The sequence below is a fragment of the Homo sapiens genome, chromosome 18 (assembly GCF_000001405.40).
Source record: "Homo sapiens chromosome 18, GRCh38.p14 Primary Assembly".
Classification (NCBI taxonomy): domain Eukaryota; kingdom Metazoa; phylum Chordata; class Mammalia; order Primates; family Hominidae; genus Homo; species Homo sapiens.
Window position 1 is genome coordinate 79,923,072 of NC_000018.10, and position 17,257 is coordinate 79,940,328.

The window sequence follows — 17,257 nt, forward strand, 5'->3', positions numbered from 1 at the left end:
AAGCAAGGCCAGAGGAAGGATGGGCATGGTACGCGGCACCTCCCAGAACACAGCGGGGCGTGGGCTCATGTGTATTTCATGAAGAAGCCCGGCTGCAGTGAGGGGGGCTGAGCAGGATGGGCTATGGACAGGGGGGCTGTGGACGGTGAGGGGGTGGATGGGGGGGGGCCGTGGACGGGTGGGTGGAGGACGGGGGGCCATGGACAGGCGGGTGGTGGACAGGTGGGTGGTGGATGGGTGGATGGTGGACGGGCAGGCAGGGGGGCTGTGGACAGGTGGGTCATGCATGGGCAGGTGGTGGATGGGCAGGCTGTGCACGGTGGGCTGCGGACACAGGACGCCAGGTGAGGGTTTAAGAGACTTGGGAAAGCCAGGTCTAAGGTCCATCTCTGGGAGACCTATTTTAGTTTCCCCAGGAAGGAGTCAATTGGCAAATGACTAACAGAAAATCCTCACTAAACAGTTTCTGAGAAAAGAATGAACCTGGATGCTTACCTTATACCACATACGAAATTTAACTCAAAATGGATCAAAAACCTACAAATAAGACCTGAAACTAAAACTCTCAGAAGAAAACATGAGGAAACACTTCAAGACATTGGATTTGTCAATGAATTTTTAGCTGTAAAACCAAAAGCACAGGCAACAAAAGAAGAATAAAAGATAAACCGGACTTCATCGAAATCTAAAACATGGCCAGGCGCAGTGGCTCACACCTGTCATCCCAGCACCTTGGGAGGTTGAGGTGGGAGAATCACTTGAGTCCAGGAGGTCTTGAACATCATGAGATTCCATCTTTACAAAAAAAATAAAAAATTAGCAGGGTGTGGTGGTGCGCACCTGTGATCCCAGCTACTTGGGAGGCCGAAGCAGGAGGATCCCTTGAGCCCAGGAGTTCAAGGCTGTAGTGAGCCATGGCTGTGCCACTGCACTGCAGCCTGGGTGACAGAGTGGGACCTGGTCTCAAAAAAAAAAAAAAAAGGCACTGGCGAGCTTAACCGTACACGCCAAACACCCTCAATTCGTGCATTTACCACTGCCGGGCCGGCGGAGAGGCTCCCGAGGATGGCAGAGGGACAGCAGGGTGAGAGGCACGAGGCGAGGCAGCTGAGATGCGTGGTGCAGGTGGGGGCAGATTTCCAAACAGAACGTGGCCTGGTGCACAGTGGAGTATTAGCCACAAAAAGGAAGAAAGGGCAGATTCATGCAACAACACGGATGGACCTTGAAACAGGACACCAAGTGACAGAAGCCAGACACGGGAACCACACACTAATGAGTCTGTTCCCATGAAGTGTCCAGCACAGGCGAGCGCACAGACAGCAGACGAGCCGCCGTCGGGGCTGGGGGAAGACGGAACTTGGGGAAAAGAAGGAAACTGGTTCGAAGGGGTTTCTTTGGGGGTGATGAAAGGCCCCCTAATGAGACAGTGGTGATGGCCGCACAACTCTGTAAATACACTAAAAACCACCGAACTGTGCACTTTTAAATGGTGATAAAATTGTGAATTTTATGTTATGTAAATTATATCTCTAATTTGAATGTTATGTAAATTATCTCTCTAATTTGAATGCATAACGAAATAGAAAATTTTAATGTATGTGACTTGTCTTATACCAAAAGATGCAGACATATCTACTTGTTTTATTAAAAAGTATCTACTTATTACTTATTAGTAAATACTTATCCAGCATTTTCTGATGCTGAAGTTGAAAATAGTTCCTTCAACTCCAAGTCTGGGAATTAAGGTGCTGTCATTTGTATCCAGAACAATTTGAAATAAATTTAGCAGCCATCTACCATTAGCTGTCAGCTCACATGTGCTGGGGAATTGGAGCAGGTGGCGGGGAGGAGCTGGGTAAGGAAAACGCTGGCTGAGGCTGACCTGGGGTGGCTCAGACAGCGGGAAATGAGATCTCTAAGTTCAGTCAGGAGAAGTCGGCGGACACGGGGGACACCTGGTGGGCATGGTGACTCCTGATCTGTCCGGTGGAAAAGAACATTTTCTGCACTTCTGAGACATTCCTGTGTCAGGAGATTTTCATTAATAGTTTTTTAAATCAGCAAATAAGAGAGAGGCGCCTGGCAGTCCTCCCAGAAGAGCTGGCCCTATTCCGAGGGACCTGGGAGGGGAGGGCACCCCCCTTTCCAAAGCAGCCAGGCCCCCGCACTGCTGAGCCCGACAGAAATCCAAGAGGGCAGGTGGCTGTGGGAGAGGAGGGGCTCTGAGAACAAGAACAAAAGGGCAAGAACGCAATTAGGATGCACACCCGTGGTCACGCAAGGTGCCAACAGAACAGCTGACAGCCGGCAGTGCAGACTCACACGCCGTGACTTCCCGAGATGTGTTTCTAGAGAGCGGCACCAAAGATAAGGCTTGAAAACGAGGCATTCAATGCTAAACGAATGTTTCCAGGCTTGGGGGGCTCACCAGAGGCCCACCCTGGCATGCACTGAGCAGAGAACAGCTGATCCTCAGAAGCTTCCGTCGCACGGGCGTGGCTGCCCTCAACTCACAGACAGATCTCTTCCAGCACCCCCCATGGGGAGCCCTGTGGGAACAGACCAGCTCCAGTCCAACTGCTCCTGGATTAAAAAGCAATTTTACCACTTGGGGAATGTGCACCAGGAGACTGTCTCCTAATGGGTAAGGAAGATCCGATTTCTCATCAGGTCGTGTTTTCATGTCTACAGGAGCACATGAGAGAGCCTGGTGTAAGAGGATCTGATGGCCAACGTGTCCAAGGCATTGGAGCAAGAGCAACTCCATTGTGAATAGAGGCTGGCTAAGATGAGGCTGAGGCCCTCTGAGCTGCGTTCCCAGACGGTCAGGCATTCTTAATCACAGGATGAGACAGGAGGTCGGCACAAGATACAGGTCATAAAGACCTTGCTGATAAAACAGCTTGCAGTAAAGAAGCCGGACAAAACCCACCAAAACCAAGACGGCCACAAGAGTGACCTCTGGTCGTCCTCACTGCTACACTCCTACCAGCACCGTGACAGTTTACAGATGCTGTGGCAACATCAGGAAGTTACCCTATATGGTCTAAAAAGGGGAGGCATGAATAATCCACCCCTTGTTTAGCATATCATCAAGAAATAACCATAAAAATGGGCAACCAGCAGCCCTTGGGGCTGCTCTGCCTATGAAGTAGCCATTCTCTTATTCCTTTACTTCCCTAATAAACTTGCTTTCACTTTATGGATTCACCTCAAATTCTTTCTTGTGCGAGACCCAAGAGTCCTTTCCTGGGGTCTGGGTGGGGAGCCCTTTCCAGTAATAAACATGAGAGGGACAGAGAATGCCAGAGAGCTTCCTGTTGGGACTGGGATGGCTGGAGGGCATCACAGCACTGGTTTCGAACACTGAACGGAGAACTGCCATGCAACAAGAACCTGGGCACATCAGACCCCTGCAGGCACCCTCGGGACCCACAGATCGCACACTCGATGGGCGCTCGCAGGACGTGAATGGCATCTCGGTAACGCCAAGCTCCACCCCAGAGCCACAGGGTGCCTTTCACCAGGCTACGGAGCCTCCTGGGCCACACTGCTCAGGGACATTCTGCAGGGGAGGAAATTGCTCTTTTTTTTTTTTCATGATTCTTGTATGAATTCTAATTAAGAAACATTACATTCAGAATTATAGCACTCACAGTGATAGTTTTCAGAAGACTGTAACAGCTTCTTTGCTACTTAAGGGGTACAGACGGTGCAGCTGCTTACCTGAATGACTTCTTAAATGAGTGACTACCACCACTCTAATTTTCCTAGTTGTAGCTCTGTTACAGGTTACTGACCACAAGTGTTGGCAAAGAAACTGTTCTTTTAAGCACTTTGGCGCTCCCTGGAGTGACGGCCATTCCCAGCAGCTAAACTGTATCATACTCCCACTTTAACTCTGTGACTGTTTCAGTATTTTTAAAAATACAAATCGACTCTCCAGGAAAAAACAAAAAAACGAAAAAACTTCTCACTTCCTTCAAATCCCTGGTCCAGGCTCACCTGACCTCCTGCAAGCTGCCCTTCAGGGCAGGTCCCAGCCCTACCTGCTGCGTCTGCTTCTCCACCCCACTCCAGCTGAGCAGGCAGAGCCTGTCCTTGGAAACGGCCCGGCCACCTGGGAGGGAACAAACAGGCACTGCCCAGACCCGGAGCTGCAGGCAGGGCTCAGCAGGACCCCAGGCGGGCACACAGGGGCTCATCTGGAGGGACCTGAGGGGCACAGGCTACAGTCGGGAGAGCCCCGGGCAGGCACACAGGGGCTCATCTGGAGGGACCTGAGGGGCACAGGCTACAGTCAGGAGAGCACAGACAAGAGGCCCCCGAGGCCACCAGGGCCGACTTTTACTTTATCCTAAGGATCAGGGACGCAAAAGGATTTTAACAAAGACGGCCACACCACCTGCTGCAGAATGAGTATAAATGCCCTTCTTAGCCTTCGAGGCCGGCACTGGCCTCGCTGACCCCTCTAATCCTGCCACCTGTGCAGCAGGCGGCAACAGGGACAGGCAGACGACACAGCTGGGGCCAGAGGACGACGCAGAGAGACCCACATCAGAGACCCTCGGGGAGTGACAGAGCCCCCGCCCCAACCCCAGTGAGTGGGACAGGCTGAGTGGGGACTGAGCACGTCTAGGGCCAGAGTGGGAGGGCCAGCCGTGCCGGCTTCCAAAGAGGACCCCGGGAAACAAACACCCTCCCACTCGGCAAGGACAAATCAAGCAACTGCCGAGACAGGTGTCCGCGTCCCAACCCAAGGCTGCCCAGACAGACAAGCGCTCACCGCCGCACTGCCCTAACAGCTGCTGAGACACATTCCTGCAGCCGCCTCAGCTAGAGCCAGGGAGGCCCTGGGAGAATGGCCTTGCCTGCTCTCAGCCTCCTCTCATCTTCAGGAGCCTTTTCCCCCCTTTACCCTAACTGACATCTCCGGGCCCCTCATTTGCTCAGAGTCTGCTCAGTGGGGCACCCAACGGTGGACAGGTGAGAGAGGTGAGGGGCTGGGCTGTCACCGCGGCCAAGGGAGCCATGGCCCTCCAGCCTGAACGGCTTCTGCCCGAAATCAGGACACAAACACAGCATCATACACAGCAGAAACAGCCCAGAAAGGCCCCAGCCCAGATGGCACTGGAATAAACAGTTTTCCCCAAGTCACTTTAAAATGAAAGTTTTGGGCTACCTACTTCTAAAGAGGACTTCAGGACAGTTCCAGGAGTTCCTCCATGACACACCCCATGGAGAATGCTTGGCTGCTGCGTTTACTCAATGTAGCCATTGAACAGAAACTCAAGAGCGTTGCTCTGCCAGCCTGAAACCTTCTTCATGCTTCCAGCCATCAGGGTTTCAGCCAGGTCAGAAACAACAGAGGCAGTAGGCTCTTCCAGAACAGCAGTGTGAGGCTCTCCACAGACCCTCTCCAGCAACATCACTGCCAGTGGTGAACATTACAAACAGCACCCACTTAAAGTCCCTAACGTGTCTTAGGGACACACGGCGAATGGAGAAACGCTTATCCAAGAAAACCACCTAAGTGGCAGCAGGAACAGCAACTTCGTGACACTTGGGCCACAACCTGCTTCCCCATCCCCATGTGACAAAAGCTCTACTCCCAGCAGGCAACCGAGAAGACAGGCTCCCTCTCCCCCAGTGCCACTGCAGCAGTGGCGGGCACCCGAGCTCTTCATCGCCTGCTCAGCTCCTGTCTGCCCAGGCTCCCTTCCTCCACTCAGCCCCCACCCATGGCGCAGGGGCAGAGGACACTGAGCATCCCTTGTCCCTGCCTCAGCTTGCTCACTGGGAGAGGTTCCACACAAGCAGGGGCAAACTAAGAAGACCAGAGGCAACAACTCACTTCCCATGCAGCACTCAGAGCAGAGCTGTCACCCTCAGAGGACCAGAGGTTCTGTCCTGGGGATGGCGGTATCAGGATAGAGAGCTCCGTAGCTCTCCCTAGAGGGACTCCCTGCTTAGAGCAGGTACAAGTTCAAGTGTAAGGATGCTAACAAAAACAACAGAGACCTCGGCAGCCAGCAACTAAGAGGAGCTAGAAGCTCCATGATGAGCTCAAAGTTTATCAAACAGAACCAGAAAGGACAACCAAGAGGAGCACTCCTGGGAACAGAACCACCACCAAACACTGGCCCCAATGGCCACCCTGCCCAGCTGTGGGGAATACATCCCCCAGGGCATCATCAAATCAGCCAGCAGCCATCAATGAGTGGAGGCCAACAGCTGGTTTGACCACCAGAAGCTTAACGGGAAGATCAGGGAGGGTCACAGCCAGCCAGAACCACCACATCTGAGGGAGAAGAGGCCCAGAGACTGCACTAGTCCAGCCAAATCACAAAACAAACAAGCAAACAGTAAGTCATCCTTCCCCCAAGTGGGGGAATCTGTATCCACAGCTGCTACTATAGTTTACCTAAAATGTCCAGCTTGCAACAAGAAAACAAAATGAGTTATACAAAGAAACAGAAAAGTGTGGTTCACACAGGAAAAAAATAATAAGCAGGACACAAACTGCTTTTGAAGAGGCACAGGTGTTGGACTCAGTAGAAGAAGACTTTAAAATAGCTATTATAAATATGTTCAAATAACTAAAGGGATCCATGCATAAAGAATTAAAAGAAAATATGATGACAACAACTGATCACATAGAGGTTATCAATAAAGAGACAGAAATTCTAAAAAAAAAGAACCAAGTGGAAATTCTGGCATTGCAAAGCACAACTAAAATTTTAAAACTCACTATAAGGGCTCAACAACAGACTGAGCTGGCAGAAGAATCAGTGAATTCAAAGAAATATCAATAAAGACTATGCAACCTAAAGAACAAACAGAAAACAGAATTAAGAAAAAAGAACACAGTCTCAGAGAAAGGTGGGATGACAGGAAAGGGCACCGGCACATGCAGAATGGGTGAGATTGTGGAGAGGAGAGAGGGGAGCAGAAAAAAAAATTCAAGGAGATAATGACTTTTGAAAACTTCCCAAATATGATGAAAATATTAATCCACATACCCAAGAAGCTCAACAAATTGCAAACCTGATAAAGAGATCCACACCCTGACACATCACAGTCTAAATGATGAATGTCAAAAAACAAAGACAAAATCTTGAAAGTAGCAAGAGAAAAATAATTTATCACTTACAAGGAAACCCCAATAAGATTAACAGCTGACTTCTCATCAGAAACAATGGAGTCCAGAGGGCAGTGGAATAACATATTCAAAGCACTGAAAAGAAAAAAAAATCATCAACCAAGATTCTTACATCTAGTAAAACTTTTTTTAAAAAATAAGGGGAAAACAAAGATTCCCAGATAAACAAGAACTGAGAAAATCTGTTGCTAGTAGGCAGACCTTACAGAAAACAAATTTTTCATGCTGAAAACAAGAAACATCAGACGCAATTCAAATCCACATAAAAAAAGAGTACAGGTAAAGACAATGATGTAAGTTATTATAAAAGATGATATCGGTCACATGTCTTCTCCTTTCCTCTCTTAGTTGACTTAAAAAGTAACTGCATGAAACAATATGCATTGTATTGTTTGGGGGCCTTTAACATAAAGAAATGTAATATATTTGACAATAATATTAATAGCACAAATGAGATGGGATCAAAACTGTATTAGAGAAAGAAAATGACTGTAGATGGTAACTCAGTCTCAGAAAGAAATGAAAGGAACCACAAATGGTAAATAAGGTTAATATAATAACTCCATAATATATGTTTGTTCTCCTTTCTTTTCTCAAGTTCTTGAATGACATAAAATGTATATAAAGGAACAATCAGAAAAATATATTGTTAGGTTGTAATATATGTAGACAAAATATGTATAATAATCATACCATTTAAAAAGGGAGGAGGAAATCGAACCATGTAGGAGTAAGGTTCCTGTCACTGGAATTAAGTTAGTATAAATTTGAAGTAGATTCTGATAAGTTAAGATGAATATTGTAAGCCTTCAAGTAACTACTAAGAAAATAATTCAGAAAACATTATTTAAAGAAATTAAAATGTTACATTAGAAAATATTTACTTAATACAAAAGAAAGCTGTAAAGGAGCAACAGCTAAGGGGAAAAGGCATAGGATATACAGAAACCAGAAAGTAAAGTAGCAGATGTAAATCTGAACATATTATAACATTAAGTGTGAATGAAATAAACAATCAAATCAAAGGGCAGAATTGCCAGAATGGATTTTTTTTAAAGATCCATCGTATGTATACAGAAGACTCATTTTAAATTCAAAGACATAAAAAAGTTAAAAGTAAAACAATGGAAAGAATATATCAAATGGCAACCACAGGAGACATGCATGTGATGACACTAACGTCAGAAGACACAGATGTCAAAAGAGAAAATATGCATATACGTCCCTAACAAACAACAGTGCCCCAAAATACATCAAACAAAAACTGACAGAAGTGAAAAGAGAAAAAGATAATTCAAAAATAGTTACAGACTTCCACACCCACATTTAGTAATGGACGTAACAACTACACAGAAGAACAATAAATCATAGACTTGACCTAACAGACAACCCTCCACCTTCACCCAACCACAGCAAAATGCACATTGAATATTCTCCAGGACAGATCATATGCTAGGCCATAAGATGTGCCTCTATTTAAAAGTACTGGAATCTGGCTGGGCGTGGTTGCTCATGCCTATAATCCTAGCTCTTTGGGAGGCTGTGGTGGGTGGGTGCCCTGAGCTCTGGAGTTTGAGACCAGCCTGGTAAACATGGTGAAAACCCTGTCTCTACAAAAAATACAAAAAAAATTGGCCAGGGACGGTGGCACACACCTATAGTCCCAGCTACTTGGGAGGCTGAGGCACAGGAATTGCTTGAACTCAGGAGGCAGAGGTTGCAGTGAGCCAAGATCACACCACAGCCAACAGAGCAAGATTCTGTCTCCAAATATTAAAAATAAATAAATAAAAGTACTGGAATAATACAGAGTATATTCTACAATTATAATGGAAATAAATTTGAAATCGATAACAGAAGACATTTTGGGATATTCACAAATATGTGGAAGTTAACACATTCCTAATAAGTGGGTCAAAGAAGAAATCTTGGAGTAAATTTTAAAATACTTTTAGGTGCATGAAAACAAAAACACAACACACCAAAGTATAGGATGCAGGTAAAGCACCTGCTTAGAGAGAAATTATGGCTGTCAATAACTACATTAAAAAGGAAGAAAGAAAAAAAATCAATGTTCTAACCTCCACCTTAAGAAAAAGAGTAAATTAAAACCAAAGCAAGCATAAGGAATGAAAGAATATTGGAGTGAAATAAAACACAGAATAGAAAAACAATAAAGAAAATGAACAAAACCAAAAATTGGTTCTCTGATAGGCAATGTGGATGTGTTGTGTTAAAAAAAGAAAGAAAGAAAGAAAGAAAAGAAAAAGAAACACCTTTTAAAAAGTTGGTTATTTGACCAGAACAAAAAATTGACAAATTTTTAGCTAGACTGACCAAAAAAAGAAAGGAAAGGAGGGGATCAAATTACTAAAGTCAGGAATAAAAGAGGAACCATTACTAATGACTTTCCAGAAATACAAAGGATTATAAGGGAATACTAAGAAAAATTATATGTCAACAAATTAGATAACTTGGGTGAAATGGAAAAATTCCAATACAAACTACCAAAACTGACTTACAAAGAAACAAAAAATCTGAATAGACTTATAACAAGAGATTGAATTCGTAATTTTAAAACTTCCCACAAAGAAAAGCCCAAGCCCAGATGGCTTCACTGGATAACTCTAAAAATATTTAAAGAGAAATTAGTGTCAACCCTTTGCAAACTCTAAAAAGATAGAAAAGGAGGGGAACATTTCCCAACTTATTCTATAAGGCCAGTATTATCCTAATACTAAATCTAGACAAAGTCATCACAAGAAAACTACAGACCATCATGTCTTACGAATACAGATACAAAAAATCCCCAATACAATACTAGCAAATAAAATCCAGCAACAGATAAAAAGTGTTAGACACCATGACCACATGGATTTATCCCAAGAATGCAAGGTTGGTTCAACACACAAAAATCAATCAATGTAGTACATCATCATAGTAGAATAAAAAATAAAACCCACATGATCATCTCAACAGACACGAAAAGCATTTGGCAAACTCTTTTATTATAAAAACACCCAACAAACTCGAATAAAAGGGAACTGCCTTAACCTAATGAAGGGCAACTATGGAAAATCCATTAACTAACATCTACTTAGTGATGAAAGATGGAATGCTTTCTCACTAAAATGAAGAATAAGATAGGTGCATCCACTCTCACCGCCTATAACCAGGATAAGCAATAAAAAGAAATAAAAGCAACTACATTGGTAAGGAAGAATTAAAACTATATTTGCAAATGACAGAATCATATATAGAGAATCTACTAAACAACTCTTAGAACAAACCAGTTCAGCAGAATTGCATGATACAAGATCAACATGCAATGATCAATTACATTTCTATAAAGTAGCAATGAAGCAGCAGAACTGAAATTAAGAAAACAATTCCATTTACAATAGCATCAAAAAGGATAAAATACTTTGGAATAAATTTAACAAAGTCCAAAATTTGTCATCTAAATTTTTCTCCTCCCTTCCTGTCTCCCTCCTGCTTCCCCTTCCCGCCCCCATCTCCCCACACACAGAAGAGCATGGACAGGCTTCTAGTAACTACTTCATGCTTGAAAACAGCAGAGCTAGGAGTTGATTAGTTTGCTGTAGACTCGGCCACGCTTGGTAAAGATGACGCACGCACATGCACAGATGGAAGCAACAACAGGAGGAAGTACAGCTGCAGGAATGAAGCAAAAGGAACGTGCTGCGGACAGTGCACGCGCAGGGTACATACCCAGGAAGGACCGCCTGGGGGCAACCTTGACTTCTTCATCCTTGCTATCTGCAGCTACACGTTAAAAAGGGAGACAGAAACAGAAAGGGGAAAAAGACAGAAACATACTGGTTTTAACATGGGTAAACAGCTGTGTTCCCAGAACTTTTTGCATTTCTTTAAAAAAAAAAAAACAAACCAGAATAGAAAGATCACAAGATTTTGGTTTTTGTGCATTAGAAAACCCACTTTCTGAACTATTTTTCTGCAAACCTAACCTCTTCCAATATCATAAAAAAGTGAATGGGGAGAATGGGAGAAAAATTGAGCCAAAAATTGAAAGTTACCACATTTCCATTTAATCTCTCGGGAGAAAGGCAGCATGGGAGCCCGTCACAAGCGTGCTGTGCTGATGGAAAGCAGCCAGGCAGATCCTGCTTCCCTTTTCCTAGAAACTCATCTGTATGCAAGCTGCGGCTGCAATATAGCTGCCCCAGGTCAAAACTCTTCAGAAGGCTGCCTGATAAAGCTGTTTTCAGAGTACACTCTGCTGTAAAAGGACAGCTGGTTCCGCACATGCACTTGACAAGCACCTCTGCACAGACACAGACACAGGGACAATGTGACAGGGACCCAGCACCCTCCAGGGCCCAGCACTGGCAATGACAGGTTATAAGTCAACCTTCCTATCTGCGCAGCCCCAGGACAAGACAGCAGCCAAGGTCCTGGAAAACAGTGTGGCCTCTAGGTGGCTCCTGGGAAGCCCCATGGGGTTTGGGATTGAAGACAGTTGATAAACAAGAGACTCAAATAAGTCCTGGGATCAGAAAGCAGAAGTAGGATCAAAGGTTGTGTTTGCCTGCCCCAGGCAATGTAGACTTAAAATGGAAATTTTGCAAGTGAACAGCTAAAAGCAAATACGAGGTGACCTCTGACCTCTGCCCTCTGCTACTTGGACTTAGGGTGTTGTTCCACTCACAAGGCAGGAACTGCAATATCTCTACCAAATTTGAGGGTTTTATAAACCAATGCAGCATACAAAGTGCAGTCTTCTCTCCTCCCTCAGCCTCCCCCAGCACTGCCTCTTGGATTCTATGGGTCCCTCAGCTCGTCCTCTCTGTTGCTTTGATTTAGACAACATCCCTCTCCACGGGCGCCTCTTCTAAAGACCAAGATCCTCAAGGGGTGGGAGGGAGGGACCACCCAAGGCAGGACTGCTCAGTCCACACTGTTTCCCTTCTCACATCCAGGTGTGACTGTGAACAGGCAATGGTGGGAGGCAGCCAGCCGGCAGGCTGGGGAAGAAGACATGGTTCAGGCTGCAGAGTCACATCCCACACCAGGCTGTGTCCTAGGCACAGCCTCAAGCTACCTGAGGCTCCTTGCCTGGAAAGCAGTGTGATCAGATCCACGTTTGTGTAGGATGGAATGCAGAGTTCTGATGCTGAGAGAGCTGCCAGGAACATTTTCAACAGTCACACACTTCCACAGATCTGTGCTGAACACGTCCTCCAGACCAGGCACTCAGGATCCAAAAAGGGCCCAGCAACATTTTCCTTTTCCTCCACACTCGGCATCAGGAGGTGGTGTCAGTGTCTTCTCCCCTTGATCATGGGTGGGCTTGTGACCACTCCAGTCCACAGAAGCAATGCTGTGATTTCCAAGACTTAGGTCATAAAAAAGATACAGCTTCCACCTGCTTTCTCAGGTAGCTCCCCCTTGGGACCTGGCCGCCATGTTGTGAGGAAGCCCAGGTCTCATGAGGAGGCCTTGGTGGGTGTCCCAGCAGAGCCTGGGTGGAGGTCCCAGCAGATAGATGGCTAGCACCAGCCATGCCAAAGAGCGAGTGAGGGAGAGAGAGAGAGAGAGAAAAAGCAAGAGAATGAGCTTCAAGGGCTGCAGCCCTAGCCTTTGAGCCTCCCCAGATGCTCCTGAGGACAGCAGAGACCAGCTATTCTTGCCAAGCTCTGCCCAAAATGCACTCACAAGCAAAATAATTGTTGTCCTTCCAAGTCCTAAGATTTGGGGTAACTTGTGGAGTAGCCAAAGAGACTGGAACAAGAGAGACACAACAAGTTATGGTTCCACATGGCCAGCAGGAAGGAGGCTGGCTGGGCCACAGAGGCCATCACCTGCTTCCTGGGACTTTGGTCCATGTCACGACTGGAGACCACTGCTGTTGGCACATGAAGGAAGGTTTGCACTGTACCCTGTCGGTACGGCGTGTATGGGGAGTGCAGGGGTGATAGTGACAGGGAGGTGCCAGACAGCCTGGGACCAGGGAAGAGCACATGATCACAGTGGCCCAGGCGAGCCCCCAATGGGAGGTACACAGGCAGATACAGGGATTCCTAATGTGACGTCCAAGAATCTCAATAAACCCCTGAAAATGCATGCAAGATGGCACATGACCCCTACATACAACACATTTTCCAGCTTTCTTGAATTATAACTAACTCACCTGTTTAAAGTGTACAATTCAATGGTTTTTAGGATATCCACAGTTGTGCAAACACCATCACTATCTAATTTCAGGACATCTTCAGCACCCCAAAAAGAAACCCTTGACTAACCAGCAGCCACTCCCTCTCCCTGGCCTCCAGCCTGGAACTGAGTGTTGAGATTTGGGACAAATTTCAAGTAAATTCAACCACCTGACTTTGAGCCACAGACAATTATTTCTCAAATAACCCCTAAGAGGAACTTAAAAGGAAAAAAGTACATGATAAAACAAAGTTAAACTTTATAAAAGCAATATTTAAAATGAAACAAATGACCCCGTGTATCCAGTTGCTGGTGCACCCCTGACAAGGTGCGTTTGTTTCCTGGTGACGTATCATGCAGCAGCGACCTGACCTCCGTTCCCAGCGGGAAGTGTCCTGAGGATGTGCAATCCTGAGCATATAAACCTCCACCCCCAATAAAACAAACGTTTTCAGTAACCGGGAGGCCGGCGCTGGCATGGTGACCCTCAGACTGCCGTGCACAGAGAGGGCTAAGGGAGGCATGAGGATGCCACATTCCATTATTTGTGGGGTCCTTGAGGGCAGAAGGGAGGCAGAGCTCAGGCTAAGCGACACAGCCAGGCCTGGAGGTTTGAAGTCAAATGGAAAGAATTGGTGTCCACTCATGAAGTATTTCACCTCACCAAAAAAAACTCCCTAGCTCCATCCACTGAAAAAGCCAAAAAATCAACCTGTAGGCCAACCCTCACACATGCCTAGGCCGTGGTCTCCAAACACTGTGTCCCAGATACCAGAGCTCCTTGGAGAAACGACGGATTCTAGGTCTGGGGCAGGAGATGTAGCCGCCACACGAGCACCCTGTTATACCAGGATCCTGTGTAGAAGCGAGACCCCTCATGCTGGGTCGAAAGGGCCCAGCAGCATCTGACGCGGCTCCCCGGCCAGAGGGAAGAACTGGAGCATTAACAAGCGTAATAATCCAGTAACACACCAAACGTCCAACTCACATGTTCAGAATGACTCAGAAACATGCACTCATCATTGCAAGATGCTAGGGAACCAACTTTGAAAACTGGTAAAGAGACCCGCATTTCCTTTATAAATTACACCTGTGGATAGCTGAACAATGGGTACCCGCCCATTTCTCTGCAGAGGGGCTCCAGCTAACAGACAACAAACATCCTGCAGCCCCTGATGAGCTGACGGCCTCAGCATGAGCCCCACAGTGGCCGCTGACCACACGCACCTCCGACGGAACGACGCAACCATCCTGCGAAACACAAGAACCAAACCTGGATCCGATAGGGCCTCAGGGTCCGCTATCTTTTTAAAATGCTCTTTCACAGAAAGAGCCAAGGACAGAACACCTTGTCCTTGTCCACATCCCAGGGACATAAAGACACGAGGAAACACCAGGAGTGCCATCTCCACTGCAGGGCTTCCCAAAACTCAGCCTGCAGGAGTACTCAGCAATCTTGTTAAAAATGCAGGTGGCACTGATGCCGCAATACAGACCACGGGCAAAGTTGAGAGGAGCTAAGGGAGAACCCACGGATTTTTAAACAACAAAATCGTATATACTGCCAGACACAGGGGCTCACACCTGTAATCCCAACGCTTTGGGAGGCTGAGGTGGGAGGATCGCTTGGCTTGAACCCAGGAATTCAAGGTGATAATGAGCTTTGATAACACCACTGCACTCCAGCCTGGGCAACAGAGTGAGACCCTGTCTCAAAAAAAAAAAAAAGAAAGAAAGAAAAAAGAAAAACCTGCAGGAAGGAGACCTGAATGCAACTGTGGGTCCAATCACCCTCGGGACTTTATGCCACCCTACCTACTTGGTAAACGCTTGAAATTCTCCATAATGCAAAGTGAAAGGTAAAAAGAAATAACCCAGCACACGAGAGACAGGTGTGCACTCACTCCCAACCGCAGTCAGCCATGGCCTGGCCGAAGAGGCTCAGCTCCGCCCAGGGGTTGCACCGTGCTGATGCCAGCCCTGCCTTCCTCAGGCTGGGCACTCGGGGCCCTGTGGGACATCTCCCTCCAGTGAGGGGCTCTGACCCTGACTCACAGCAAAAAGGGCTTGGGAAAACATCTCAGTGGAATGAGGGTTTCTTTTTAAAGTCTGATCATAATTTTGAAAATTATGCCAATTTTGTGAAAGGCGACTGTAGAAGAAAAAAGGAAGAGACTTGGAAAGCATGCCACGAGGTTCAAAGTAGTCACCTCTGGAGGGTGGGGTGGAGGCTGTTTTTTTGTTTTGCTTTGTTTTGTTTTTTAAGATGGAGTCTCACCCTGTGGCCCAGGCTGGAATGCAATGGCCCAATCTTGGCTCACTGCAACCTCCACCTCCAGGGTTCAAGTGATTCTCCCACCTCAGCCTTCTGAGTAGCTGGGATTACAGGCATGCGCCACCACGCCCAGCTAACTTTTTGTATCTTTAGTAGAGACGGGGTTTCACCATGTTGGCCAGGATGGTCTCGAACTCCCGACCTCGTGATCCGCCCACCTCGGCCTCCCAAAGTGCTGGGATTACAGGCATGAGCCGCTGCGACCGGCCAGAAGCTGTTTTACTTTATATTCTGTCTTCCCCAAATGTCTACCATGAGCATGCACTGTTCTTTATAATCAGACAACAAATTATGTATCTAATTTTTTAAGTAACCTACTCTTTCTTAATACCATTTATGTTTCTTTTATATTAACTTTCAAACTGAATTTGTGACCTTCAAAACTTAAAATCCCTATAAAAGATAGCTGGAAAACATTTCCGCTTTTATTTCATTAGGTCGTCTGACCATCCATGAGCACAGTGAAATGCAGCTATTCAAACGTTTCCTCATAAGTTATTTTCATGTCCTCATCGGTCTGCCAAGAATTGTGCCTCTCAAGGCCCATGATCCCCCTTGGCATGTCCTCACCCTCAGGGTGAGGCTCAAGAATGTACTTGGCAAAAGCAATAATTGACAAAGGGGATCTAATTAAACTAAAGAGCTGCTGCATAGCAAAAGAAACTATCAACAGAGCAAACAGACAACCTACAGATGGGAGAAAATTTTTGCAAACTACGCATTTGACAAAGGTCTAATATCCAGCAACTATAAGGAACTTAAATTTACAAGAAAAAAATGAATAACCCCATTAAAAAGTGGGCAAAGGACATGAACACTTTTCAAAAGAAGACATACATGCGGCCAACAAGCGTATGAAAAAAAGCTCAACATCACTGATCATTAGAGAAACGCAAATCAAAACCACAATGAGATGCCGTCTCATACCAGTCGGAATGGCTATTAATAAAAAAAAATAACAGATGCTGGTGGGGTTGTGAAGAAAAAGGAACACTTACATACTGTTGGTGGGAGTGTAAATTAGCTCAACCATTGCAGAAGATGGTGTGGTGATTCCTCAAAGACCAGAAATACCATTCAACCCAACAATCCCGGTACTGGGTATAAACGCCAGGAATATAAATCGCTCTACTATAGACACATGCACACATATGTTCACTGCAGCACTATTCACACTAGCAAAGACTTGGAATTAACCTAAATGCCCATCAATGAAAATCATCTAGATTTTCTTCTGGATGAAGCAAATGTGGTACGTATACACCACGGAACACTATGCAGCCATAAAAGAGAACAAGATCGTATCCTTTAGAGGAGCACAGATGGAGCTGGAGGCCATCATCCTTAGCAAACTAACACGGGAACAGAAGACCAAATGCCGCATGTTCTCACGTGTAAGTGGGAGCTAAATGATGAGAACACATGGACACACAGAGGGGAACAACAGCCACTAGAGCCTGTCGGGGGGTGGAGAGCAGGAGGAGGGAGAGGACCGGGAAAAATAACCAGTGGGTACTAGGCTTAATACCTGGGTGATGAAATAATCTGCACACTGGCCGGGC

At 46.2% G+C, this 17,257-nt stretch overlaps 1 protein-coding gene across 21 annotated transcripts in view; it reads right to left on the reverse strand.

The window, feature by feature from the left end:
• The window catches only part of SLC66A2 (solute carrier family 66 member 2), a 49,234-nt gene that overhangs the window by 20,652 nt on the left and 11,325 nt on the right, over positions 1 to 17,257 (reverse strand). For 8 of the 21 annotated variants that reach the window (XR_007066224.1, NM_025078.5, XM_047437835.1 and 5 more), the window contains one exon: positions 10,898 to 10,951. The exons of 6 other annotated variants lie outside the window; for them this stretch is intronic. Coding sequence is in view for 12 of the 15 variants with exons in the window: in NM_025078.5 (NP_079354.2) it covers positions 10,898 to 10,951 (54 nt within the window). In the remaining 3 variants the exon portion in view is untranslated. Of the gene's footprint in view, positions 1 to 951; positions 1,983 to 7,156; positions 7,241 to 10,897; positions 10,952 to 12,248; positions 12,697 to 17,257 lie in introns of those variants that run through there. 7 more of the 21 variants (XR_007066225.1, XM_047437836.1, XM_017026001.3 and 4 more) reach the window with 6 other exon arrangements.